The sequence below is a fragment of the Homo sapiens genome, chromosome 11 (genome assembly GCF_000001405.40).
Source record: "Homo sapiens chromosome 11, GRCh38.p14 Primary Assembly".
Taxonomy (NCBI): domain Eukaryota; kingdom Metazoa; phylum Chordata; class Mammalia; order Primates; family Hominidae; genus Homo; species Homo sapiens.
Genome location: NC_000011.10, coordinates 77610943 through 77638588, shown reverse-complemented (window position 1 = coordinate 77638588; position 27646 = coordinate 77610943). Strand labels below are relative to the sequence as shown.

The 27646-nt window shown below is 41.7% G+C and overlaps 1 protein-coding gene across 5 annotated transcripts, besides 2 other annotated features; it reads left to right on the top strand.

Moving 5' to 3' along the window:
• Positions 548 to 1067: an enhancer, noted in NCBI's record as "H3K27ac hESC enhancer chr11:77348567-77349086 (GRCh37/hg19 assembly coordinates)". NCBI's record gives its function as "activates a minimal SCP1, AML or CMV promoter by ChIP-STARR-seq in naive H9 embryonic stem cells {active_cell/tissue: H9 hESC(naive)}" and the evidence as "EXISTENCE:reporter gene assay evidence [ECO:0000049][PMID:30033119]".
• Positions 654 to 893: an enhancer, noted in NCBI's record as "active region_5308". NCBI's record gives its function as "activates an Ori minimal core promoter by ATAC-STARR-seq in GM12878 lymphoblastoid cells {active_cell/tissue: GM12878}" and the evidence as "EXISTENCE:reporter gene assay evidence [ECO:0000049][PMID:35858748]".
• CLNS1A (chloride nucleotide-sensitive channel 1A) lies at positions 795 to 24059 on the top strand. Of its 5 annotated transcripts, none has more exons than NM_001293.3 (7): positions 795 to 999; positions 8690 to 8826; positions 12771 to 12872; positions 13519 to 13626; positions 15916 to 16089; positions 18894 to 18983; positions 21894 to 24059. In NM_001293.3, the coding sequence occupies exons 1-6, from the start codon at positions 875 to 877 to the stop codon at positions 18959 to 18961; spliced, it is 714 nt and encodes a 237-aa protein (NP_001284.1). In that variant the 5' UTR covers positions 795 to 874; the 3' UTR covers positions 18962 to 18983; positions 21894 to 24059. The 5 variants fall into 5 exon arrangements, with proteins under 5 accessions (NP_001284.1, NP_001298128.1, NP_001298129.1 ...); NM_001311199.2 differs by lacking the exon at positions 21894 to 24059 and adding an exon at positions 19902 to 20049; NM_001311200.2 differs by lacking the exon at positions 12771 to 12872.
• The last annotated feature ends 3587 nt before the right edge of the window (positions 24060 to 27646 follow it).

Genomic DNA, 27646 nt, shown 5'->3' with positions numbered 1-27646 from the left:
GGATTACAGGCGTGAGCCACCGCGCCCAGCCAGGGATCCAAGTTTTTAAGGATAATTTGGCAGGTTGGGGAAGGCCAGTGAGTCAAGAGTGCTGATTGGTTGGGTGGGAGATGAAGTCACAGGGAGTTGAAGCTGTCCTCTTGCGCTGAGTCAGTTCCTGGGTTGGTGGGGAGGGGGCACAAGATCACATAGCCAGTTTATCCATCTGGTGGTGCCAGCTGATCCATCAAGTGCAGGGTCTGCAACATATCTCAAGCACCGATCTTAGGTGCAGTTTAGGGAGGGTCAGAATCTTGTAGCTTGCAGCTGTAATTTCTAATCTAAACCATAATTTCTAATCTTGTGGCTGATTTGTTAGTCCTACAAAGGCAGTCCAGTCCCCAGGCAAGAAGGAAGTTTGTTTTGGGAAAAGGCTGTCATCATCTTTGTTTTAAACTTCAAACTGTAAACTAAGTTCCTCCCAAAGTTAGTTCAGCCTATATCCAGCAATGAACAAGGACAGTTTGGAGGTTAGAAACAACATGGATTTGGGTAGGTCAGATCGCTTTCAGTGTCTCAGTTATAATTTTGCAGTGGTGGTTTCACTGTGACAATCCTGAGGGACTTCCCACAGAACCCTCAGTTATTGAAGCCCAAAGCCTCAGAAATGGCGAGGAAGAAGGGGAAGGGTGTTGCGCGGTCAAACTCCACACGTTCTTAGCCGACCTCCGCCGCTTTTCCTAGAATGTCTCATCTCTATGGTCGACGGCGTTCAGATTCCGGGGCAGACTAAGTTGTTCTTCCGGGGTGACTGCCTCTTCCAGGGCGGGCGGTGTGGTGCACGCATTGCTGTGCTCCAACTCCCTCAGGGCCTGTGTTGCCGCACTCTGCTGCTATGAGCTTCCTCAAAAGTTTCCCGCCGCCTGGGCCAGCGGAGGGGCTCCTGCGGCAGCAGCCAGACACTGAGGCTGTGCTGAACGGGAAGGGCCTCGGCACTGGTACCCTTTACATCGCTGAGAGGTAGGGTTCCTGGTCCCCAGCGCTGGCCTCCTGCGCGCCGCCCTCCTCCTTGCTGGAGCAGGCGGTGCGAAGGAGCCGGGCAAGGGGCGGCCTGGAGGCCTGCTGGGAGCGGGGTCTCGTGCCCGACGCCTCAGGGATACCTGTAGCGGGTGGAAGGCTCGATTTTTCTAGTACTCCTCCGGAGTCTTCCATTCTCTGTTTTCTCCGGCCGGAATTTCCCCTTATGGATTGTGCTTTTTTTTTTTTTTTTTCTTTTTTTCCTCTTTCTCTTTCTCTGTCTCTTTCTCTCTTTCTTTCTTCTTCTTTTCTTTCTTTCTTTCTTTTATTTTCTTTTTTTTTTTTTTTTAACTCGCCTATTTACTGGAGGTCTGGCGCGTGCGTTGCCCTTAACGCACGGTCTGGTTTTAAGGGTCTGAAGTGTGCCTGTCTTTCCGGATGAACAGATGCAGGAGATGTTCCCCTCTCTGGGATACGTAGTTTCAGAGCCGACTGTGGAGGACTTTTAAAGTTTGGTTACACAATAAAGATTTTCTTCTGTAGGTATAGTAAGGAGAGGAACACCCTTAACTCGACACAGACAGGGGTCATATGCAGAGGGACCAGACTCCCGTTTTGGGGTCCTGGAAGGAATTGCCCTTTTATTTGGCCACGTGGAGCACTTTGGTATTTTGACAGTCAGATAGATCTACCGTAAATATTGTGGTTGTAGAACAGAGGTCCCTGTTTCCTTGACATGCAGTTTTCTTTATTTTGAAGCCTGTAATGACACATCGAATCTTTCCTGCCCTTCAGATATGTGTTGCTTCCCCTTTTGCTCCATCACTTGTCTACAGCCAGAGAAAATTCTCTACTTTTAAGAGCTCATGTGATTACTTTGGAACCACCTGTAAAATCCAGGATAATCTCCCTATGTTACTGTCGACTGGTAACCTTAATTACGTTTGTGAAGTCCCTTTTGCTGTGTAATATAACATATTCACCCGCATGACACCAGAAAGTGAAGGTCGTGGGGCCAAAATTCTGCCTACTACAGAATCCAGAGCACAAAAACTGTAAAGAACCTCTGCTTTAAAGGGAAATTTAGACATTGAACAAGGTTTAGGCTTCAGGCCAGAAACTGAGATAGGACATATGGATGGGAGGAAAAGCAAGATTGAGGTGAGAGGCAGATAATGAGTTTGGTCAGGACATGTGTGGAGTAGTTGTACATATGACCGTGTTGGGCCGGGCGCGGTGGCTCACACCTGTAATCCCAGCACTTTGGGAGGCTGAGGCAGGCAGATCGCTTGAGCCCAGGAGTTTGAGATCAGCCTGGGCAGCATGGCGAAACCCAGTCTCTACAAAAAATACAAAAATTAGCCAGGCATGGTGGCGGCCTGTAGTCCTAGCTACTCAGGAAACTGAGGTGGGAGGATCACCTGAGCCCAGGAGGTCGAGGCTGCGGTGAGCCGTGATTGTGCCCCTGCACTCCAGCCTGCATGACAGAGTGAGACCCTGTCTCAAAAAAAAAATAAAAATAAAAAAAGAATGTGTATCTTGGGAAAGTGGTATTAAAGAGAGATGTTTGGAGGTCGTTAAAGTGTTAGTGTATACTCATGGAAATGGATTAGATATCTCAGAAGAGAAGAGGACCAAGTGTAGAACCCTAGGGATACGCCGACGGGTGGGTCATGAAAGAAGAAACTTGAGAAAGGAGGAAGGAGCAGTCAAAACAAAATGTGAAGAGCATATATTGAGTATTGACAAGGAGATCTTTGATAATTGGGGAAAGCAGTTTCTTTGAAGTGGTGGAAGATGGAGCACAGATACATTCCTAGTTCCCAGGCATTCCTTTTTTATTCATGACATTTCTGTATGTTGACGCTTCTTTCAGTATTATAACTCCTTTTGAGGGACAGTCCTGTATTGATTTTTGCATTTAGAAGAATTTCAAACCTAAGATCCAGTGTGGTGGCTCACGCCTGTAATACCAGCACTTTGGGAGGCTGAGGCGGGTGGATCACCTGATGACAGGAGTTCAAGACCAGCCTGGCCAACAATGTGAAACCCTGTCTCTACTAAAATACAAAAATTATCCGGGTGTGGTGGCGTGCACCTGTAATCCCAGCTACTTGGGAGGCTGAGGCAGGAGAATCGCTTGAACCCGAGAGGCGGAGGTTGTAGTAAGCCGAGATCATGCCATTGCATTCCAGCCTGGGTGACAGAGTGAGACTGTCTCAAAAAAAAAAAAAAAAGAAAAATTTCAAACCTAAAGAAAAGTTGTGTTATTACTACCCATACACCCTTCACAAAGATTTATTAGTTAACATTTTGCCATGTTTATGTCTCTGTTTTTCTTTTTTTTCTGAGCCATTTGAGAATTGTCGACGTTTTCCACTTCCTGTTCAGAAGAACAGGGACATTATCTTGTATAACCACAATACAATTCTCATACTAAGGAAGTATAACTCTTTTTAAGTTCTTATCAGCTTTTAAAAAATTCTTAGCCTGGGCAAGGTGGCTTACGCCTGTAATCGCAGCACTTCGGAAGGCCAAGGTGAGCAGATCCCTTGAGTCCAGGAGTTCTTGACCAGCCTGGACAACATGACAAAACCCCATCTCTGCAAAGAATACAAAAACTGCAAAAATTAGCCGGTCGTGGTTGCACGTGCCTGTAGTGGCAGTTACTATGGGGAGCTGAGGTGGGAGGATTACTTGAGCCTGGGCAGTTGAGGCTGCGGTGAGCTGTGATCACACTACTGCATTCCAGCCTGGGTGACAGAGTGAAACCTTGTCTCTGAAAAAAATTAAACATTATTTGTTTCAGCTTTTCACAAACAAATCTCTTATGTTTCTTCTTTAAGATTTTTTTTTTTTTTTTTTTTTTGAGACAGAGTCTTGTTCTGTCGCCCAGGCTGGAGTGCAGTGGCGCGACCTTGGCTCACTGCAAGCTCCGCCTCCCGGGTTTAAGCGATTCTCCTGCCTCAGCCTCCTGAGTAGCTGGGACTACAGACGTGCTCCACCACGCCCAGCTAATTTTTGTATTTTTAGTAGAGACGGGGTTTCACCATGTTGGCCAGGCTGGTCTCAAATTCCTGACCTCATGATCCACCCACCTTGGCCTCCCAAAGTGCTGGGATTACAGGCATGAGCCACCGTGCCCGGCCAAAATAATTTTTTTGTGTGTGAAACATAAATACAAAAAAAGGGTATAAATACACACACATACTGTGTACATATATATACAGTCCAGCCGTTCTTCATCTGAGGGAGTGAGGGAGAATGCCCAGAGATGATAAAGCTGGAGAAGGAGAGAGTCATGTTCATAAATTTGGCTTATAGCCTTTAGGCTTTGGTGAAACTATTTAGTTTGAGGCAGAGAGGGACAGCAACAGATTAGGTTTGGCTGGACTTGGTTTAGTCTCTCAGATTTGTGTTGAAAGATTTAGAATCTCCGGCTTATTTCAGAGCTTAGTTTTTTATAGGAAGTTGAATTTTTTTTTTTTTTTGAGATGAAGTTTCACTCTTGTTGCCCAGGCTGGAATGCAATGGCGCAATCTTGGCTCACCGCAACCTCCGCCTCCTGAGTTCAAGCTATTCTTTTGCCTCACCCTCCCGAGTAGCTGGGATTAACAGGCATGCACCACCATGCCTGGCTAATTTTGTATTTTTAGCAGAGATGGGATTTCTCCATGTTGGTCAGACTTGTCTCAAACTCCCGAACTTAGATGATCCATCTGCCTCGGCCTCCCAAGATGCTGGGATTATAGGTGTTAGCCACTGCACCCGGCCAGGAAGTTGAATTTTTATCCAAATAAGGAAGATACAGAGGCATGAATAATATAAAATAGACAGTTTAAAACAGGTAAAATAGGTAATCAAATTAAAATTAGGTAATTTAAACTTAAAATTTTTTTTTTGTATCTCATTCCAAAATTAATCTTAAACCAAATAATTAAGTTAACCCAAATTCAAGACCTCTCTTAGCTTCCTGTCCTGTTTTTCATCCCGTGCTGGGAATAAAGGACACTCACCATACTTGTGCAAAAGCATTTGAATTCAGCAAAACATGTTCTCTACATGTTTACTCTGTGTCTAATTCTTCTTGTCTTTCCCTTTTGACTCACGGTTTCTTTGGAACTGGGTATGATTAATTAAATGTTTTAGAAGGATTTCTTCTAGAATATATACAAAGAGTAAATGCAAATCAGAATTTAATGATCAGACAAAACAGTTATATTTTTAGATGATACAGTGAAATCTTTTATGTTTCTCTACATCACTTTGAAAGTTAGAACTTGAATACTTTCAGTAGATTTATTACAATCATCCCAGCAAACTTTAATGGCAGCATGTCTGGCCTATTTCATCGTGGCCTCTGCTAGAATTAGAAAATCTGGTGGTGGTGCAACAAATAATTCATGTGCAATAGGATTTAATTTGTTGTTAATAGGTATTTGTTCAAATTAAAATTGCCAGATTAAATGAATGTACTGTCAAATCTCTTTTTTTTTTTTTTTTTTTTTGAGATGGAGTCTCCCCGTTGCCCAGGCTTGAGTGTGGTAGCGTGATCTTGGTTCACTGCAACCTCCGCCTCCTGGATTCAACCAATTCTCCTGCCTCAGCCTCCCAAGTAGCTGGGATTACAGGTGCCTGCCACCACACCCAGCTAATTTTCGTATTTTTAATAGAGACAGGGTTTCGCCATGTTGGTAGTCTGGTCTGGAACTCCTGACCTCAGGTGATCCATCCACCTCGGCCTCCCAAAATGCTCCCAAAATTATAGGCCTGAGCCACCACGCTCGGCTTATAATGTCAAATCTTTTTTAACATAGTAACATGCTGTTGGAAAAAATAAGTTGTTGAAAGTAAGTTGTTTTCCCATTTAAAAATATCTGTGAATATTAATATATGATTTGCATTTGTAAATCTGAAAAAGTAAAATACAGAAACCTAGGGTTTCTTTTCTTTTTTTATTTAAAAAAAAAAGAATTTAACGATTAGAATAAGTGTTTTTAAGTGTGGAACTTGGCTTCTGTCCTATAGAATGCATAATCCCAGTTCATGTAAAAGATTATGAGAGTTCCATAGCAAATGCTGTGCAGAGGAGCATTTGTATTCTCTCTGCACTAGTAAGGAATTACAGAGGTATTATGATGGCTTTTAAAAGTGAAGGCCATAATTTGATAGGCACTCATTCTATGTTTAGGTTTCAGTTTTTCCATGTCGTCATTGAGTCATTCAAGTTTTATGGCTCTGGATATTTGAAATTATTTTGGACACCCAAATTTGGAATGTTTCTTTCTGAATTGTGATAACGCCAGAAAATTTTTGAGATCAGAAAAGGGCAGTTTATTTGCTTTAAAATAATACAGCTTTTGTAGGGGACTCGTGATACTTGGGCATTATTTCCTCTCCACATTAAAAGGAAAGCAGTGGGCAGGAAAGATGCATACAGCACATAACCTCATTACATAATACAATGTTTCTTTGGAACCAGTAGGAATGAGTTGTTCTGGAAAACAATTTGTAGAGGTTTTATCACTTTTAGCTCTTTAAGATTTATCACTTTTAGGCCAGGCGCAGTGGCTCACGCCTGTAATACTGGCACTTTGGGAGGCCGAGGTGGCAGATCACCTGAGGTCGGGAGTTTGAGACCAGCCTGGCCGTCATGGCAAAACCCCATCTCTATTAAAAATACAAAAATTAGCGAGGCGTGGTGTCACACGCTTGTAATCCCAGCTACTTGGGAGGCTGAGGCAGGAGAATCGCCTGAACCCTGGAGGTGGAGATTGCAGTGAGCCAAGATCATGCTACTGCACTCCAGCCTGGGTGACAGAGTGAGACTTCATCTCAAAAAAACAAAGATTTATCACTTATAAGCTTCCTAGTTTTCCTTTACTTTTTTTTTTTTAATAAGAATGTTGGATAGAAATCTTTCCACATGACAGTGCATATATTCTTACTTTTGCCTTTTGAAAGTATACAATTAGGGGCAGGGTGTGGTGGCTCATGCCTATAATCCCAGCACTTTGGGAGGCCGAGGCGGGTGGATCACGAGGTCAGGAGATCCAGACCATCCTGGCTAACACGGTGAAACCCCGTCTCTAAAAATACAAAAAATTAGCCGGGTGTGGTGGCGGGCGCCTGTAGTCCCAGCTACTGGGGAGGCTGAGGCAAGAGAATGGCGTGAACCCGAGAGGCGGAGCTTGCAGCGAGCCGAGATCCGCCACTGCACTCCAGCCTGGGCGACAGACCGAGACTCTGTCTAAAAAAAAAAAAAAAAGTATACAATTACGTAAGTTTTAGTATATTTACAGAGTTGTACAGTTATCACCACAATCTAATAATCTGCCTTTGTTTTTGGTAATGCTTTCGGTAACTGAGGGTCATGTGGTTAGACATTGATTTCATTTAGGGGAACTGAGGTGGAAAGTTCATCCTCCCCTTCCACTGAACATGAGTGATCTCAGACTGTCACACTGTCATTGTTCCTGCCCAAGGCAGTCCTAGGTTCTCCTGTTTTACTTTTGTTTTTGCTTGGTTAGAAATTAGACAGCCAGGCTTGTTAAAATTGTATAGAATATAGAATGATACAGGGGTCTTACTTCATTAACTTTTAAAAATAATTCATATAGCATACAGTTTAACCATTTAAACATACAATTCACTAGTTTTTAGTCTGTTTACAGAATTGTGCAATTATCACCACCATTTTAGAATATTTTCTTCACCCCAAAAAGAACCTGGTACCCAGTAGCAGACATTCCCTATTTCCTTCTAGCCCTAGGCAACCACTATATTGCATTAACATTTTTTTTTTGACTTCTTCAGGATTTTTTACTTTTTTTCTGCTAAGTGGTACAGCTCCAGATGGATGAAGTATTATCAGAAAATTAGCTAGCCTCTACTGAAAGCTCAAAATACTGATTTTGGTGATGTGTTTCCTTTGTTACACCAATAAAATATTTGCATTTGACCACATTTGAGGGAAAACTAGATCTAGCTTTTCTGTGGCTTTCTCTTAAAGACGTTGAATAAATGAAAGGCTTCAGGGAATCTGTCTCTCAGGGTAATAATTATTTCCTGACTTGCGGTGAGTGTGATTACAGCCATTTCATATATATGTCTTTTAGTGTAGGATTCATGGAGAAATGCATGATTACCAAGGATTTATTGCATACTTAACTCCTGAGCTCTTTGTTAACGGTTTTGAAGGATGTTAATAAAGGAATGTGACAAGTTCTGCTGTCCGATAGTTCACATTCCATAAGGGCACATATAAGACTCATTACCACAGAGTTAAGTGCTAAAATTTGCAAATCAGAAAAGGAAGAGATCTTTATGGACTGGTGTAGTTGAAGGGAGGCCTCATGGAAGAGGGGAGGATTTGCAAAAGCAAAGAGGGTATTTGAAGACATACCAAAAAAGAGTAAGCATGAAAGTCATAGAAACATACATGTGACTGAGGAAAATGGAATTTCAAGTCTGTTTGAATTTATAGCTAGAGGGAAAGAGACCGTAACAGAATTGATCTTAAAGAAAACTCAGTTTCCACTACTGAATTTTCTTATTTTATGAACGTTTCTAAAAAAGTAAACTTGAATTTATTTATATGCATAAAGGTGTCCAAGCTGAACTTTTATATACTTTGTGGTCTTACATGAGGATTTACTTTCTAAAAATAATCTACTTAAAACATGTTTTTCAGCCGCCTGTCTTGGTTAGATGGCTCTGGATTAGGATTCTCACTGGAATACCCCACCATTAGTTTACATGCATTATCCAGGGACCGAAGTGACTGTCTAGGAGAGCATTTGTATGTTATGGTGAATGCCAAATTTGAAGGTATGTATGGTGTAATTTAATCTAATGCCTCCTTTGATAGCAAATTATATTTTAAAAAAGAGTCTTTGAGGCCGGGCACGGTGGCTCACGCCTGTAATCCCAGCACTCTGGGAGGCCGAGGCGGGCGGATCACAAGGTCAGGAGATCGAGACCATCCTGGCTAATACGGTGAAAACCCGTCTCTACTAAAAAATACAAAAAATTAGCCAGGCGTGGTGGTGGGCGCCTGTAGTCCCAGCTACTCAGGAGACTGAGGCAGGAGAATGGTGTGAACCTGGGAGGTGGAGCTTGTAGTGAGCCGAGATCATGCCACTGCACTCCAGCCTGGGCGACAAAGTGAGACTCCGTCTAAAAAAAAAAAAAGAAAAAAAAGAGTCTTTGATAATAATCAATGTAACATTGAGGCCATTGACTCATTTTGGGTAGTAGTTTATTAAGCAAAATTTCAGCACAGCAACTTGGACACTTGAAGTTTTCACAATGGATGTTCATGTGTGTCTGTATATATTTCTCTATATTTACACTTAGAATTCTTCATTTATTATGGATATGTATTTCTAGCTTTTCCTCTAAAGTTTCACTGTTTATTCTGCCTTTCTCTTTTTAAAAGGCACCCTTAGGGGCTTGGATCAGTATACCCTGTGCTTCTCATAATTTAAGATAGAACTGTTTTGTTTTGTTTCAGTAGTGGGTCTCAGTGGTTGTAGGGGGGATATATTTTCCATGGGCCTCCACCAACCTCACCATTCCCCCACATTTGGCAGTGACATTTTGGTTGAAAGAGGAAGGGTATTATTGGTGTCTAGCAGTTAGATGCCAAGGATGCTATTATTATACTAAATATTCTGCTATGCACAGATGGTCCCCCACAACAAAGAATTATTCCATCCAAATGTCAGTAGTGCCAAGGTTGAGAAACTGTAGGATATAAAGATTCTCAAGTTTTGCTTTGGGATAATTGCAAAGACTTGTAAAAGTCTAGTGAAGATGCTCATGTTTAAAATAACGGGTTGCTTTTCTTTGAAGTAGTGTGTAAGAGACAATCCTATGAAGTTACCTACAAGGCTATTGCTCTTTCAAATTTAGATTTTAATATGGTTCCAGATATAATATGATCATTTATATTCAGGTGTGAAACTATTTAGTAATTCTTAGGACTTTTGGCAAGACCTGCCTCATTAAGTGGTAATGACTGATTCAGCTATCTGAAAATATTTTTGTTATAAGATTTCAAATTCTTGCCATTGGAAAAGGTTCAAAGACATTTAAAAATCTAGTGAAGTTTGAAAAAGAGGATGAGGAAAAGTAAAAGGCTGTTAACCTTGGGGTGTAGTAGTGTAGTAAGACTTCCTAATAAGGCATTTGGCACAAAATTTACTCTCCATCTAAGTAAATGCAACTATGATTTTATAACCAAGAATATTATGTGTCATGTTTAGTTTAAAGCATTCATTCATTTGCAGAAATGCGAAACCTTGCTCTTGTCAGTCAACTCCAGATGCTGGTGTGAAATGGCCCCAAATAGTGACGGCCATTGGAGGTGGGAAAGGTACATGCCAAGAGAAAGGCTTAGGAAATAGCATTTAATAAATACTAGCCTAAGGGCAAAAGCACATTGAATAAGAAAACTCTGTCATTAGGCCGGGCACAGTGGCTCAAACCTGTAATCCCAACACTTTGGGAGGCCAAGGGGGGCAGATCACAAGGTCAAGAGATCGAGACCATCCTGGCCAACATGGTGAAACCCTGTCTCTACTAAAAATACAAAAATTAGCTGGGCGTGGTGGCGGGTGCCTGTAATCCCAGCTACTCGGGAGGCTGAGACATGAGAATCACTTGAACCCGGGAGGTGGAGGTTGCAGTGAGCTGAGATCGCGCCACTGCACTCCAGCCTGGGCAACAGAGCAAAACGGTCGAAGAAAAGAAAAAAAAGTAAGAACTCTGTCATTAACTTGCTAGGCAAGTCATTTGCATTTCTCTGAGCCTGAATTTCATCCAAAAAGTTAAGGGAGTATATTAGTCTCTTGTTCCCAAACTCAAGACTAATGGATACACATTAGAAATACATGGGAAGCTTGTTTAAAATGCAAATGCTCTGAGTCCTAAACTAGGAAAAAGCAGTTCAGTAGGTTTTAGGGTGTGTGTTTTAAATATGTGCTCTATAATCATACAGAATCTATATGATTGGTTGTAATTGATGTGATTATGATTAATCCTTTCTTAGTAAGATATGCAGGATTTCCTATCTTACTAGAAATTAGTATCTTTCTGGGTCACATTTATTTCACTAATTCTCCAGTTCCTTTTTTTTTTTTCTTTTTTTTTGAGATGGAGTCTTGCTCTGTCGCCAGGCTGGAGTGCAGTGATGCGATCTTGACTCACTGCAACCTCTGCCTCCTGGGTTCAAGCGATTCTTCTGCCTCAGCCTCCCGAGTAGCTGGGACTACAGGCTCCCGCCACCACGCCCCGCTAATTTTTTTTTTTTTGTATTTTAGTAGAGTTGGGGTTTCACTGTGTTGGCCAGGATGCTCTCCATCTCCTGACCTCATGATCCACCCACCTCAGCCTCCCAAAGGGCTGGGATTACAGGCGTTAGCCACCTCGCTTGGCCCTTTAGTTCTTTTTATCTTAAACTCCTCTCATAAATTACATGTGCTTGAATCATATTTTCCCAGCCTTTGTTCCTTGCATTCTGATTCTCTAAGCTCTAAGTTTTTTTTTTTTCTCTTTGGCATACCTCTGTAAGTCTCTTTAAAAATGACCATCAGGGCTGGGCGCGGTGGCTCACACCTGTAATCCCAGCACTTTGGGAGGCTGAGGCGGGCGGATCACGAGGTCAGGAGATCAAGACCATTCTGGCTAACACGGTGAAACCCCGTCTTTACTAAAAAAAATACAAAAAAATTAGCCAGGTGTGGTGGCGGGCGCCTGTAGTCCCAGCTACTCAGGAGGCTGAGGCAGGAGAATGGGGTGAACCCAAGAGGCAGAGCTTGCAGTGAGCCGAGATGGCACCACTGCAGTCCAGCCTGGGCGACAGAGCAAGACTCCGTCTCAAAAAAAAAAAAATGACCATCAGGACCGGGCATAGTGGCTCACATCTGTAACCCCAGCATTTTTTTTTTTTGTGATGGAGTCTCACCCTGTCACCTAGGCTGGAGTGCGATGCTGTGATCTTGGCTCACTGCAACCTCCACCTCCCAGGTTCAAATGATTCTCCTGCCTCAACCTCCTGAGTAGCTGGGATTATAGGCGCCTGCCACCACGCCTTGCTAATTTTTGTATTTTTAGTAGAGACGGGGTTTCACCATATTGGCCAGGCTGGACTCAAACTCCTGACCTCGTGATCCGCCCACCTCGGCCTCCCAAAGTGCTGGGATTACAGGCGTGAGCCACCGTGCCCAGCCACAATCCCAGCATTTTGAATGGCCAAGACAGGAGGATCACTTGAGCCCAGGAGTTTCAGACCAGCCTGGGCAACATCGTAAGACCCCATCTCAAAAAAACAAAAATTAGCAGGGTGTGGTGGCAAGTGCCTGTAGTCCCAGCTGCTTAGTAGGCTGAGGTGGGAGGATCGCTTGGGCCTGAGAGGGCAAGGGTGTCCAGTCTGGGCAACAAAACAAGTCCCAGTCTCAGAAAAAAAAGTTGACCCTTAGCTCATTGTTGATGAGATTAGATTACCTTAAAAATAACCTTAAAAATTCATTCCCGGTGAGGCGCGGAGGGAGCACTTTGGGAGGCCAAGGTGCGTGGATCTCGAGGTCAGGAGATCGAGGCAAGGCTTTTCTAGGATGCTCACTGTATAATCAGAATTTTTCAACCATAATTGGAAATAAATTTGTCAACCATAATTGGAAATTAAAATTGAATTGCAATATTCAGATTTTCAATATGCTTCATTTTTTTAAAGTCAAATAATGACATTAAAAGGGTATTTTATTTTCTAGAAGAATCAAAAGAACCTGTTGCTGATGAAGAAGAGGAAGACAGTGATGATGATGTTGAACCTATTACTGAATTTAGATTTGTGCCTAGTGATAAATCAGCGTGTGAGTGTTCTACAGTATTGATTCTTCCCCTTTTACATACCAAGCATTCCCAATTGACACACACACACATACACACACACACACACCTCTCACCTTTACCACCATTACCTCCATTCTATTGCTTTTTCTTTATTTTAGCATTGGTAATATCATTAAGGACCAAATACCTATTAATATCAAAGGTTGTGAATGTAGTGAGAATATTGTAGACACTCTGTCATCTGGGTATATTTTGTGAGTGGACTCTGGTTAGTTTTACTGATTGGTGCTGTTGACTTAATCTCACCTGCTGGATGGCAGAGGAGTTATGGCAGTTTTAAAGTGGAAGATCTCAGGATGGCTGGAAAGAGCCCTATCAGCTGAGAGCAGTCTTCACCCTTCACCCTGATGCCAGCAGTCTTACCAGGACTCTGACCCTTTTTTCTTGGAAAATCCCACGAGCCATGAAGAGATTGCAATGATCTCTCATAATGAACTCTTATTATTTTATGACTTGTCTTTTGCTTCAACCGCTTTCAAGATTGATCTTACAATTTGGCAGATTTTGTAAATACTGTGGCGTTTTGTGTACCCATTAAATTTATTTGCACTGATGGTTACTTTTATTACAAAAAAAGATTGGTTACAGTTTAATTTCCTTGTTCAGTGGAGGCAATGTTCACTGCAATGTGCGAATGCCAGGCCTTGCATCCAGATCCTGAGGATGAGGATTCAGATGACTACGATGGAGAAGAATATGATGTGGAAGCACATGGTTAGTGAAATGGATTTTAAAGTGGGTTTTTTGTTTGTTTAGTGTTTCATTTTAAGCATTTATTTGTATTAAGGGTAGAGGATTATAGTTCTTTATATGACTGTAAAGTATGCAGTATGGTAAAATTATTATTATTATTTTTGAGATGGAGTTTTCGCTTTTGTTGCCCAGGCTGGAGTGCAATGGCGTGGTCTCGGCTCACTGCAACCTCTGCCTCCTAGGTTCAAGCGATTCTCCTGCCTCAGCCTTCCAAGTAGCTGGGATTACAGGCATGCGCCACCACGCCAGGCTAATTTTGTATTTTTAGTAGAGATGGGGTTTCTCCATGTTGGTCAGGCTGGTCTTGAACTCCCGACCTCAGGTGATCCGCCTGCCTCGGCCTCCCAAAGTGCTGGGATTACAGGTGTGAGCCACTGTGCCTGGCTGGTAAGATTATTATTAAAATAGAATGACACGGTAGAACACTTTATGCCAAAGCCCTTTGCAACAGACAAATTTTTGAGTGTAAGAAATAGAGATTGTTATGGGGAAGAATGGGTAAGTAGAGCATATGGGAGGAAAGAAAATGGTAGATAGGGAAGTGGATGGTCAGGAAAGTCTTTTAAGCTGAGGCAGCTGCCCCCAGAGAACAAGCTTCTCTCTCTACACCTTGAGAACCTGGATCATTTATATTGTTTTATTATTACTATTATTATTTTGCAACAGGGTCTCACTCTGATGCCCAGGCTGGTGTGCAGTGGTGTGATTTCTGCTCACTGCAACCTCTGCCTGCTGGACTCAAATGATTCTCCCAGCTCAGCCTCTTGAGTACCTGGGACTACAGGCTTGCGCCACCATGCCTGGCTAATTTTTGTGTATTTTTTATAAAGACTGGGCTTTGCCATATTGCCCAAGCTGGTCTCCAACTCCTGGGCCCAAGCAATCCTCTGGCCTTGGCCTCCCAGAATGCTGGGTTACAGGCATGAGCCACCGGGCCTGGCCTGCATCTTTATTTAACATGTTCCTTCAAACAGCTCACTGCCAAGGTCATTTCTTTTTCTCAGAACCATACTTCATTTATTTAAGAGCCCTTTCCGATTGCCTCCCCCAGACCAGAATGCAGTCACTAGCGTGATAAGAGTCTTTATAGCTTGAAGTACCTGCTGTTCTCTTTTCTTTTCCCTACTGGTCTTATGTACACCAATCTGGGTATCCAAAGCCCTTTCCTTCATATGTACCCACTTCCTGGCCTGAGATAAACACATTTCTGGGATCCGCCATCACATACCTAAATATATCCAAATATATCCTTATCTTTCTGAGATTTTTGAGTGATTTAAAATTTTTCATCCTTTTTGTATGTTCCAGAATTTCTAATTTTTTTTTTTTTTTTAAACAGGGTCTAACTCTGTTGCCCAGGCTGGAATACAGTGGTACCATTCTCCACCCACTGCAGCCTTGAACTACTGGACCAAAGCTGTCCCACCCCAGTCTCCCGATTAGCTGAGACTACAGGTGCACACCACGTGCCCGGCTAATTAAAAAAAACATTTTTTTGGAGAGATGAAGTCTTACTATGTTGTCCAGGCTGATCTTGAACTCCTGGGCTCAAGCAGTCCTCCCAGCTCGGCCTCTCAAAGTGCTGGGATTACAAACGTCAGCCACTGCACCTGGCCCTGATTTTTTTTAAGAAAGGAGCATGTTTTTTAATCAGAAAACATCTTCATTTTACAAATTAATACCAAATTAATTTGTGCTCACTTGTAAAATTCCCACCTCAGGATAATGTAGGACTCTCTGACCTTAGGAACACACTTTTTTTTTCTAGTCCCTGGACTTGGGATTCTTTGGGAATTGCTGTTTACTGGCTTGTTATCTCTTTTAATAACCCTAGAGAGTAGGTACATCTTCTTTGTATTTCTGTCTTCAGCAGTAGCCTATATGTGTGTATAAATAAATGTTCAAAAGTATCTTCCTGGAAGCCTATTTGGACAGTATATTATCTTCAGCAGATTCTTTTTTTTTTTTTTTTTTCCAAGACAAGGTCTTGCTCGGTTGCCCAGGCTGGAGTACAATGGCGTGATCTCGGTTCACTGCAACCTCCACCTCTGTGGTTCAAGCGATTCTCCTGCCTCAGCCTCCTGAGTAGCTGGGACAACAGGCGCGTGCCACCACGCCTGGCTAATTTTTGTATTTTTAGTAGAGATAGGGTTTCACCATGTTGGCCAGGCTGGCGGCAGATATATTATTGATTCCATTTTGTTTTTTCTAATTGTTGTATTTAAACTTTAAAGTTTTCTGTTTGTTTAGAACAAGGACAGGGGGACATCCCTACATTTTACACCTATGAAGAAGGATTATCCCATCTAACAGCAGAAGGCCAAGCCACACTGGAGAGATTAGAAGGAATGCTTTCTCAGTCTGTGAGCAGCCAGTATAATATGGCTGGGGTCAGGACAGAAGATTCAATAAGAGATTATGAAGGTGAGTGTCCTTTTGCAGTGTGAACAGTCAGATGAGCACTTGGGCAATAAGTTATGGATAGTCAATAGAAGTTCTTTTAATAACTAAGAGAAAGAATTGACTCTCTATAGTATAGGAAGCAGATACAGAATTACATAGTATAGGAATGCTTATGTCATTTGTTTTTAGTGATTTTTTTTCCTCATTACCAAAAAAGTCTTTGTTCATAGTCAAAAAAATTTTTTTAATGTGCGCAAGAAAGTAGAAGTGAAAAAGAAACAAGTGTAATTCTAACTGAGAGATATCCACTATTAATTTACTGTTGCATCTGTGTATTAGTTTGCTAGGGCTATTATAACAAAGTGTCATACAGGCTGGGTGGCTCAAACAATAGAATTTTATTGTCTCATAGTTTTGGAGGCTAGAAGTCCACGATAGGTTATCTCTGAGGGCTGTCAATTCAGGCATCTCTTCAGGTATACACACACCCACCAAAGCAAGAGAGAGATTTTAAGAAATTGGCCCACGTGACTGAAGGCTGGCAAGTCCAAAATCTGCATGGTAAGCCGGCAGACTGGAGACCCAGAGAAGAGTTTATGTTGCATTCTGCTGCCTCAGAAGTTCTGCTGGCAGAATTTCTTCTTGCTCAGGGGAGGTGAGTCTTTTTCCTATTGAGGCCTCCAGCTGATTAAATGAGACCCACCACACTATGCAGGGTAATCTCCTTCACCCAATTTTCACCAGTTTACAAGGCTAATCTCATCTAAAAAATAACCTCCACAGAAACATCTAGAATAATGTTTGACCAACTATCTGGACACCATTGCCTAGCCAAGTTGATGCATAAATTTAACTATCACACCCTTCTTTTTTTCTTAAGATGGAGTTTCGCTCTTGTTGCCGAGGCTGGAGTGCAATGGCACGATCTTGGCTCACTACAACCTCCGCCTCCTGGGTTCAAGCGATTCTCCTGCCTCAGCCTCCTGAATAGCTGGGGTACTGGCGCCTGCCACCGCTCCCAGCTAATTTTTGTATTTTTAGTAGAGACAAGGTTCCACCATGTTGGCTTAAAGTATGCACAGGCAAAGAAGAGGTAGAAAAAAATAAATATAATTCTGAGATGCATTTACTATTAATTTTCTGTTGCATATCCTTTCAGTCTTGTGTCCTTTTGTGTGTGTATATACACTGATTGTGTGTGTGTGTGTGTGTGTGTGTGTGTGTGTTTGAGACAGAGTCTTGCTCTGTCGTCCAGGCCGGAGTACAATAACGTGACCTCGGCTTACTGCAACCTCTGCCTCCCAGGTTCAAGTGATTCTCCCACCTCAGCCTCCTGAGTAGCAGGGATTACCCACTACTATCGTGCCCAGCTAATTTTTGTATTTTTGTAGAGACGGGGTTTCACCATGTTGGCCAGGCTGGTCTCGAACTCCTGACCTCAGGTGATCCGCCCGCCTCAGCCTCCCAAAGTATTGGGATTACAGGCGTGAGCCACTGCACCCGGCCATGATTCTGTCTTATTTATTTATTTATTTATTTAAGACGGAGTCTCACTCTGTTGCCCAGGCTGGAGTGCAGTGGCATGATCTTGGCTTACTTCAACCTCCACCTCCTGGGTTTAAGAGATTCTTCTGCCTCAGCCTCCTGAGTAGTTGGGATTACAGGCATGTGCCACCATGCCTGGCTAATTTTTGTATTTTTAGTAGAGGCGGGGTTTCACCATGTTGGCCAGGCTGGTCTCTAACTCCTGACCTCAGGTGATCTGCCTGCCTTGGCCTCCACCTTCCTGGTTCAAGCCATTCTCCTGCCTCAGCCTCCCGAGTAGCTGGGATTATAAGCGCCTGCCACCATGCCCGGGTAATTTTTTTGTATTTTTGTTAGAGATTTCGCCATGGGGTTTTGCCATGTTGGCCAGGCTGGTCTCAAACTCCTGACCTCAGGTGATCCACCCACCTTGGCCTCCCAAAGTGCTGGGATTACAGGCGTGAGCCACTGTGCCTGGCCAAGACAACTCTTTCCGTGGGGCTTGTATTAGTCTGTTTTCACACTGCTGATAAAGACATACTCAAGACTGGGCAATTAGCAAAAGAAAGAGGTTTCATTGGACTTACAGTTCCATATGGCTGGGGAAACCTCACAATCGTGGTGGAAGACGAGGAGCAAATCACATCTTACATGGAAGGCAGCAAGCAAAAAGAGCTTTTGCAGGAAAACTCCCCCTTATATAACCATCAGATCTAGTGAAACTTACTCATTATTATGAGAACAGCACGGGAAAGACCTGCCCCCATAATTCAGTTACCTCCCACCAGATCCCTCCCACAACACGTGGGAATTCAAGATGAAATTTGGGTAGGGACACAGCCAAACCATATCAGGGCTCTTGTTTTTTTTCTCTTGTTCCCTCCCCACCTTTTATTTAATGAGATGACAAAAACAGGGAAATAAGCAAAAAGCTTGCTGTACTGATTTTTGTCTTTTCACTTTGTGAGGATAGGGCTGTATACCTTAAAAAGCCTAACAGTAAATACTTAGATCTGTAAAGGGTGAACAATTGATACTGCATTTGAAAGTTCCTACATAGAGTTATTTTAGTATTGAGGGTGAGAATTTACACAGTTAGTGTCGCAGACTGATTTTGATGTGGCCTAAATCCCCAGGTAGCATTTTCTTTCTCAGTTTGTCCCTTCAGACTTTTCCAAAAAGAGGAAAAAGCAATTCTTACCAGCAGAGGGCACTAGCTTCCTTCTGGTAGAAGTTATAAGTTGAATCTACCTGTCTGAAGTGTTCATAGGGATTGCTCAGTAATTAATTTTTTTGTTTAGATGGGATGGAGGTGGATACCACACCAACAGTTGCTGGACAGTTTGAGGATGCAGATGTTGATCACTGAAAATGATTTATGCAAGTTTAAGGTGAGTAGTTCATTTTCTCCCTTGTCGCTGATCATGAAAATCATATGAAATGATTACTTTCTACTTTTTAAAATTCTTTCTTGAGACAGGGTCTTACTCTGTCACCCAGGCTAGAGTGCAGTGGCATGATCCTAGCTCACTACAGCCTTGAACTCAAGCAATCCACCTGCCTCACCCTCCCAAATAGCTGGGACTATAGGCACATGCTTACCACACCCAGCTTATTTTAAAATTTTACGTAGAGACAAGGTCTCACATGTTGCCCAGGCTGGTCTCTAACTCCTGGCCTCAAATGATTCTCCCTCCTCGGCATCCGAAAGTACTGGGATTACAGCTGTGAGCCACTGTATCTGGCCTATTTCTTTTTCCTTCTTTAAAAAAATTTTTCTTCTTTTAAACCTCAGATTGTTCCTGACAATTTATTTGCTACTCCATTATTCTGAGAAATATATTGTCCTTTGCCAGCCTAAGTATTTCAACTATATGTTAGATAATAACTGAAGGTCATGTTCATATCATACAGAGCTAGAACCAGTAATTGTAGTAGTCCTTTATAAGCTGTTGTTAAATTGTTGTCCCTGTCTCCCCACTACAACTTCCTCCTACCTTATAGCATTGTTTTCTTGAATACTGGCTATCCTCCAGTCTTTGAGATGCTCTCGCTAGCCTCCTTTTATTTTACTAAAGCATATAGTAATAGCATGGTAAGATTTATATGTTTTGACTTGACTCTGCTACCACTGTCAGTCATCCAGTTAAGTTATAAGATCCTTTGTTATTCCCTGCAATGATAAATATTTCAGAATTCCTTCTCTTTTCTTCTGATACAGATTTTAGTTCTGAACCTAGTTCTGTAATCATTGGCTTTTCTCCAGTTACAAGTTTTAATTCCTTTACCCCTGTTCTATTTCATTTCAGAAACCAGCCTTTTAAAGTTCCAGTTAGCTTCCAAGTTACTGCTATTGTGAAAACTGTATAACATTGCTTCTTATACTGACCATGAATTGTGATACTGGACCTGTGCTTTCTTCTCACATCCTGCCAGTGGAACTATCAGAAAATAACCTCTTAGAGTTCTATGATTTATATTTTCCCTTAAATACTTAATTTTAATTTCCACATTTACTTTTGTCAGTGGTAGCCATACAGTTTAAAATTAGCAATGTCTTCTCTGTTAAAATCATGTGTTCACATCACTGGAGCTCTGTTAACTTTGATTTTTAGCTCTCACAGTTCCAATTGTCAGTAACTTCACTGTTCTACTTCATGGGAAATCCTTTGATATCAACTTCAGTATTCTTTCCTTATTTCTCATCACATTATAGCATATTAATTTTTTCAGTTCAGTGATACTTGTTTTAGTAACTGTTTTATTGCAATTAGAAAACAGATTTTTGGGTCTTTGGGCTTTCACATATTTCTTTTGAAGAATAGACTATACAGAGAACATCAGCCACTCTATTATTAATCAGAATCATGAGAAACTCATTTGGTATGTCACTAACAGTTAAACAAATGGGATGTTACTGCAGTCCTTGGCAAGAATTCTTAGGATTCTTTTTAATGGTGAAATAGCCACAAACTTTTTAATGAGCTTTGTTTTCTGTTAATTTTATCCTAGAGCTCAGAGGCAGAGAATTATTTTATTCATAACGGTTTTTTTTCTTTTCTTTTTTTTTTTTCTTTTTGAGATGGAATCTCGCTCTGTCGCCCAAGCTGGAGTGCAGTGGTGTGATCTTGGCTCACTGCAACCTCTGTCTCCTGGGTTCAAGCGATTCTCCTGCTTCAGTCTCCCAAGTAGCTGGAACTACAGACGCGCGCCACCACGCCTGGCTAATTTTTGTATTTTTAGTAGAGAGAGGGTTTCACCATGTTGGCCAGGATGGTCTTGATCTTTTGACCTCGTGATCCGCCTGCCTCGGCCTCTCAAAGTGCTGGGATTACAGGCATGAGCCACTGCACCCTGTTTATAATGTATAAACATTATGTATAATGTTTATACATATTCTTCATCTGGATAATTGATCTGAATTCCGAACAATGTCTGTACATTTTTTTTTTTTTGACACGGGAGTCTCGCTCTGTTGCCTAGGCTGGTGTGCAGTGGCGCAACTTGGTTCATTGCAACCTCTGCCTCCCGGGTTCAAGCAATTCTCCTGCCTCAGCCTCCTGAATAGCTGGGATTACAGGTGCCCACCACCACACCCGGCTAATTTTTTTTTTTTTTTTTTTTTTTTTGAGATGGAGTTTCGCTCTTGTTGCCCAGGCTGGAGTGCAATGGTGCAATCGGCTCACCGAATCCTCCGCCCCCCCGGGTTCAAGTGATTCTCCTGCCTCATCCTCCCGAGTAGCTGGGATTACAGGCATGTGCCACCACGCCTGGCTAATTTTGTAATTTTAGTAGAGACAGTGTTTCTCCATGTTTGGTAAGGCTGGTCTTGAACTTCTGACCTCAGGTTATCCGCCTGCCTTGGCCTCCCAAAGTGCTGGGATTACAGGTGTGAGCCACCACACCTGGCTGTGTAAATTTTTAATCATTTAAAATTGTACATGCTTTAAAAGAATGAATAAGGAATAAATAATTAAGAGTAGTTTATGCAACTGTTAATAATTTCAGGATAATGGAACTAGGACTTCTCAGTGCATGAGGTGGGGTGGAGACGGCACGTTAATCGTGGAATCACAACTCTGCCACATACTTGTGTACACCTTTGGACAAGGCATATAACTTATTTAATCCTCACTTCCCCCATCTGTAAAATGGGGAGGATAATACCTACCTTGCAGGGTTGTTGCAGAGGCTAAGATAAAATGTACCTAAGTCCTCTGGCACTCGTGACTAGGCATTCAATAAGTAGTAGCTATTATTATTATCACTACTGTAAACACTGTAAACCTTTTGTTTTTCAGATTCTGCTCCTAAGTGTAGGAGAGAACTTGGTGCCTCTTCCACTCTGGAGTGAAGTTAATGAAAGTCTTTTTCCTTTTCCAAAACCCAACCTGAACCAGTTCTTTCTTGAGACAGACTATACTGAGACAACAAGTTGTCACCAGCAGAAGATAGATAATATGACCTTTATTAACTTGATGAATTAACTTAACCAAGAGGGTATTTGTAGTTTACTATTTACCCTAAAACTTTCTGTGTCTGGGTACCCTCTGAGTAGGCCTATAATTCCTACCTTGACTGTGTGCATCATTTGTAAGCTAGCAGATCTATGTGGTGAAAATGCACAGGAGCTTGGTAGACTGCGGGGGAAAGAGAGAGCTCCTTTCGCCATGTTTTACCAGTCTGCTGTTATAACCTCTTAGGTTGTATCCTTTAATTTCCAGCCTTTTAGGTTAGTTTCTGTAACAGAACAAGTGAGTCTGGGATGAAGTCCTCAAAGTACTTCAAATGGTAATTGTTTTGTTTTTGTAATAGCTTAACAAATAAACCTAGGTTTTCTATATTACTTTGCTCTCATTCTTGACTAAAACCATTAATGAGAAATGTTTTTTAAAAAATAATGCTGGCAAATATGAGAATTTTGTTGGCTTTATTTTTGTTTACTTGTTGAGAAGATGAACATGAAATTAATAAGAAAATATAGTTATAGCTTCTGGCAAGTATTTAGTAAGGCAAAGATTTAACACATTTCAGGGGATTTCTGCCACTTCCTTTTAGATCAGCAGTAATTTCTTATATTTATCAACTCTCAATTTTTAGTTTTCATAGATACCTGGGTATTATAAGGCTGATTTGTAATTACTGATTTATACTTGGACTTTTGAAATCATTATGTGTCCTTAAAAATAAGGTTATACAAGCTAACCTTCTTAACAGGATCACATGGCTAATTAGTGACTAAACTGATGTTTGGTACCACTCAGCCCAGTGTTCATTTCAGCACTGTCACTTGGTTTCCCTTATCTTGCAAGGTAGACTGAAAAAAAACGAATTTTCCTTTTTCTAACCAGACTCTCAGAATTTCTGAGTCTGTTAACAATAGGCAAGTAAAACAGCCACTTGAAATGGAAACTAAAATTTACTGAGACCTCTGTACTAGCCACTGTCCTGAGTTCTTTATTATGTATTATAATATTCTTAATTATCTTATGAGATACGCTTTTATCCCACTTTATAGTTGAGGAAACTGAGTTATAGAGAGAGGTAAAATAACTTGCTTAAGGTCATGTAGATAGTGAATTGTGATTTTTGAGCCTGTGCTTTAAAACATCATACAGCCTTACCACCTACCAGCAGCAGAAAGCATGCACACTCTCCCCACTGCTGCAGGGTTTCAGTGTTAACATTTCAATGGCCAGTACAAGAGCTTCCCCAGTTTCTCTGCTACCCATCTGAGCAACACCCATAATTCTATCCTAGAAGTTTGTCCATTCTTCAGTAATCAGTCAGGACATTCTCACAGGCTAATATTAGAAATTCCATTTGAGTTCCTTTTAAAAGGAACAAATTTATAATTGTGACTTTCCATGAACATAAATTGCTCTGATAGCAAAATGTCGAGAAGATTCAGAGTGTACTTGGTTTCTTGTTGGTGTTGCTGTGGTCAATGCAATATGCAAAAAGGCAGGAGACCAAAGCATGTGGGCACCTCTCTGGGCTTATTTCCTCATTAGACTAAGTGACTTTCAAAGATTGAGCTGTAACATTCACTAGATAGTTAGAACCGTAGCATTGAGAAAATAGAAGCTGAGAAAAAAGAGCAGGTCAGGCTTTTAAAAGATAAAATTTATAATGATCAGCCAGACAATATTTATTGATTTCATTTGAGCCTAATTTTAGGGTTGCTGGAATTGTTTTCTTTGTGTGTTCCTGATGTAGAGACACTTTAAAGGTACATAGACATTTCCCCTCCAAAATGTAAGTCATCTAAATGTTCCTAAAAGCTAGGGTTAATGGTTCTCTGTTCTAGGTTCTTCATTTAAAAAATGTATTCATTAAGATATGGTCCCAGCCGGACGTGGTGGCTCACACCTGTAATCCCAGCACTTTGGGAGGCTCAGGTGGGCAGATCACTTGAGGTCAGGAGTTTGAGACCAGCCTGGCCAATACGGTGAAAACCCATCTCTACTGAAAATACAAAAATTAGCCAGCCATGGTGGTGGGCACCTGTAATCCCAGCTACTCAGGAGGCTGAGGCACAAGAATCACTTGAACCCAGGAGGCAGAGGTTGCAGTGAGCTGAGGCCATAAGCTTGTTTAAATCTTTATAGGGGCTGGGCACGGTGGCTCATGCCTATAATCTCAGCACTTTGGGAGGCTGAGGTGGGTCGATCACCTGAGGTCAGGAGTTCCAGACTAGCCTGGCCAACATGGTCAAACCCTGTCTCTACAAAAATACAAAAAATTAGCTGGGCGTGGTGGTGGGGCACCTCTAATCCCAGCTACTTGGGAGGCTGAGGCAGGAGACTCCCTTGAACCTAGGAGGCAGATGTTGCAGTGAGCTGAGGTCACACCGTTGCATTCCAGCCTGGGCAACAAGAGCAAAACTCCATCTCAAAAATCAAAAAAGGTTATGTGGTTATGTATTTTTGAGGTTCTGTTAGGAGCTTCCTCAATATTGGTAAAGGTGAGAGATTATGTGCAGATGATCATAATATACAGGTTGAGTATTCCTAATCTGAAATCTGAAATTCCCCAAAATCTGAAACTTTTTTGAGTGCTAACATGATGCTCAAAGGAACTGCTCATTGGGGCATTTTGGATTTCAGACTTTTGGATTAGGGATGCTTAACCAGTATAATGCGAATTATTCCAAAATTTTAAAAACATTCCAAAATCTGAAATACATTTGATCCCAATAATTTTGCTTAAGGGATATTCAATCTGTATAGTCCTTTACTTTTAGAAGAAGGCAGGTATGATTACTTACTGCTCAGAAATAATAGATACTTAGAATTTATCTGCAGGATTTCAGATGGGTTCACTATTACATACCTGATTATCATGCACATCCTGTTTTAAAAGTATAGAATGGATGAATCCATATCTGGGACTCATCTTTTGTGACCAATAACTGAATTCTAAGCATTGTCTCTCATGGGGATCCTCACAGAATTGTTGCCATCCCTTTATGAAGGAGCTGGAACATATTTTCACTAACATCTCACTCTGCTCATGTTTACATAAGTAAAATCAGTATCTAGGGGAACTTCATAATTTCAAATGAAAAAAATGGATTATTTTGGAGATTACATGAATCACTAGTACATGTAAAGCACTTAGAACAACAGTGCCTAGAATATAGCTCAATAGATGATAGTTTTTACTAATAGTAGTAATCCTTTTCATAACAGAAAGCAGCAGCTACAAATTTATCAACTCACTGTTTAGAATACATCTGATTAGCTTGAAGTTTAAAAATCCACTGAGCAATTAGACATCATGAAATCTATACTTATTTCTCAGGACCTCAGGCTTTCACTGCAAATCTCTACTCTTGCTCTACAAACAGGTCTGATGTACTTGAATATCTAGTTTCTAGGCACACAATGGGTTTGACAAGGAGAAAAAGGTAGTTCTATCAGTAGCAGCAGTAAATAGCTGACAGAATTATGAAAAAAGGTAAACATATATTCCCACAAAATATAGCAGTCTAAGCCTCTAAACAGTACAAATGAGGACAGTGTAGCAGTTTATGTTCATAAAATTATGACCCTGCATCAGCCCAAATTATGATTGTAAATCCAAGTCTGACTAAGCAGATTTTTTTTTTTTTTTTTTTTTTTGAGACGGAATTTTCCTCTTGTTGCCCAGGCTGGAGTGCAGTGGCGTGATCTTGGCTCACCACAACCTCCGCCTCCCGGGTTCAAGCAATTCTCCTGCGTCAGCCTCCTGAGCAGCTGGGATTACAGGCATGCACCACCACATCCTGCTAATTTTGTATTTTTAGTAGAGACAGGGTTTCTCCATGTTGGTCAGACTGGTCTTGAACTCCTGACCTCAGGTGATCCACCCGCCTTGGCCTCTCAAAGTGCTGGGATTACAGGCGTGAGGCACCGTGCCTGGCCTAAGCAGAAAATTTTTATTAGAAAGCTATCTGGTAGCTCACTAAATGGACAGGAAAGTTGAAATAAGCCAGGCTCATAAAAAGATGAAATCTACATAAGATGTTATGATTCCTCCGCTGCTGTTAGACTGATTTCTTGATTGTCCCTGTGTCTGTGAGTCACCACACTTAAGATGCAAACTTCTGGTTGGCACTGTGTGTCTTCATTGCCAAGGGCAGAAGGAGTATCTGGGCCTTTCAGCTTCTACAGTGGAAGGACGCTGCCGCTGTGCAGATGCTCACAGTACCCCAGGTAAGAAGGATGCTTAGATGCTGGATTGCAAAAAATGTACAGCTGTCTACTACAACCCCAAATCTTTAAAAAAAAAAAAAAAAGCTGCTATTCTATTGCACAAGTGCAGGCATGGAATAAGCAAACAGTTGGATTTAATCAAGTTGAGGCTAAGCTCTGTGAGTATGAGATAGAGGAGCAAGGGAGTTAAGGGTGTATGCATGTGATGATGACTGGCCAAGTAAGCTGCTTAAGGAGAAGAGGGTACTTGAGAGGGGTGAGAGATGTGAAAAAGTGGTGTTATCAGTGGACAGAAGTTCCACATGGGGGTCAAAGGATCACTGGAGATGGGGTCCTAGAGAGACTGAGCTGAAAAGGGGTCAGTGGTTAGAGAGTAGGGTGTCTGAGTTCATAGAAGATTTCAGTTATTGGTAGTAAGTAAGTTCAAAGTTACCACCAAAATTGCAGCTGAGGCAAAGTAGAAGACAAAATTTTCAAAGGAGAGATCCAGTGAACTCCAAGGCCGTGCAGCTGGAAGGATCATCTTTGTATCTGTCACCAAGAAGTATAACTGTGGTGATGGTAGAGAGTGAGACAGGAACTAAGATCTGAAAGGAACAAAGGGAAATTGAGGGGACTGTATACTAGAAGACTGCAACAAGTACCCAGGTAACTGATGACATGTTTTTAATGGAAGAAGCAGAGGAGAATGGATGAGCAGCATCCCATGAGGACAAGCATCCATTGAGGACATTGAGGACAAGGAAATCTACTCTGCCTCCAGGCACAGTGGTATACTAGGTGTGGGAGAGAAAAGAGCCACTACTTGAGAGGGCTATAGAGGTAGCAGTGTCATCAGAACTCACAAACTCCAAAGTCTGACAGTGGAAGTTCAGAGGGCTAGGCATTTTCACAAATTAATACTCATTTTTCTTAACCCACAGAAGTCCTCATGCTAGAGATGTAAAAAGGCATATTCCTATAAGAAAAACAGCCATGAAACAGTAAGTGAAACTTAGCTTCATGTTTGCAAGACGGGACCATTTTAAAGGGAACAACCATTATTTTGTGTTGTATGGCAGAATTCAGGCCTAGTATTGCAAGGTCTTTGGAGTTTTTCTAAGAGCAGCTAGAACTATGGATTTTACTTAATTTCGACTTTTTAAAAAAACTACTGTGAGGCCAAATAAAATAAGTCAGAGACTGCATTTAGCCATTTAGTCACATTTGTGAACTCTTTTTTTTTTTTTTTTTAAGATGGAGTTTCACTCTTGTTGCCCAGGCTGGAGTGCAGTGGCACGATCTCGGCTCACTGCAACCTCCGCCTCCCAGGTTCAAGCGATTCTCCTGCCTCAGCCTCCTGAGTAGCTGGGACT

What these genes read in the sequence shown, in the direction of transcription:
- CLNS1A (NM_001293.3), top strand. Translation starts at nt 875, where the DNA reads ATGAGCTTCCTCAAAAGTTTCCCGCCGCCTGGGCCAGCGGAGGGGCTC. An exon ending in ATATGATGTGGAAGCACATG is followed by an intron (nt 13,627 to 15,915) that starts GTTAGTGAAATG and finishes CTGTTTGTTTAG; the next exon opens with AACAAGGACAGGGGGACATC. An exon ending in TTCAATAAGAGATTATGAAG is followed by an intron (nt 16,090 to 18,893) that starts GTGAGTGTCCTT and finishes TTTTTTGTTTAG; the next exon opens with ATGGGATGGAGGTGGATACC.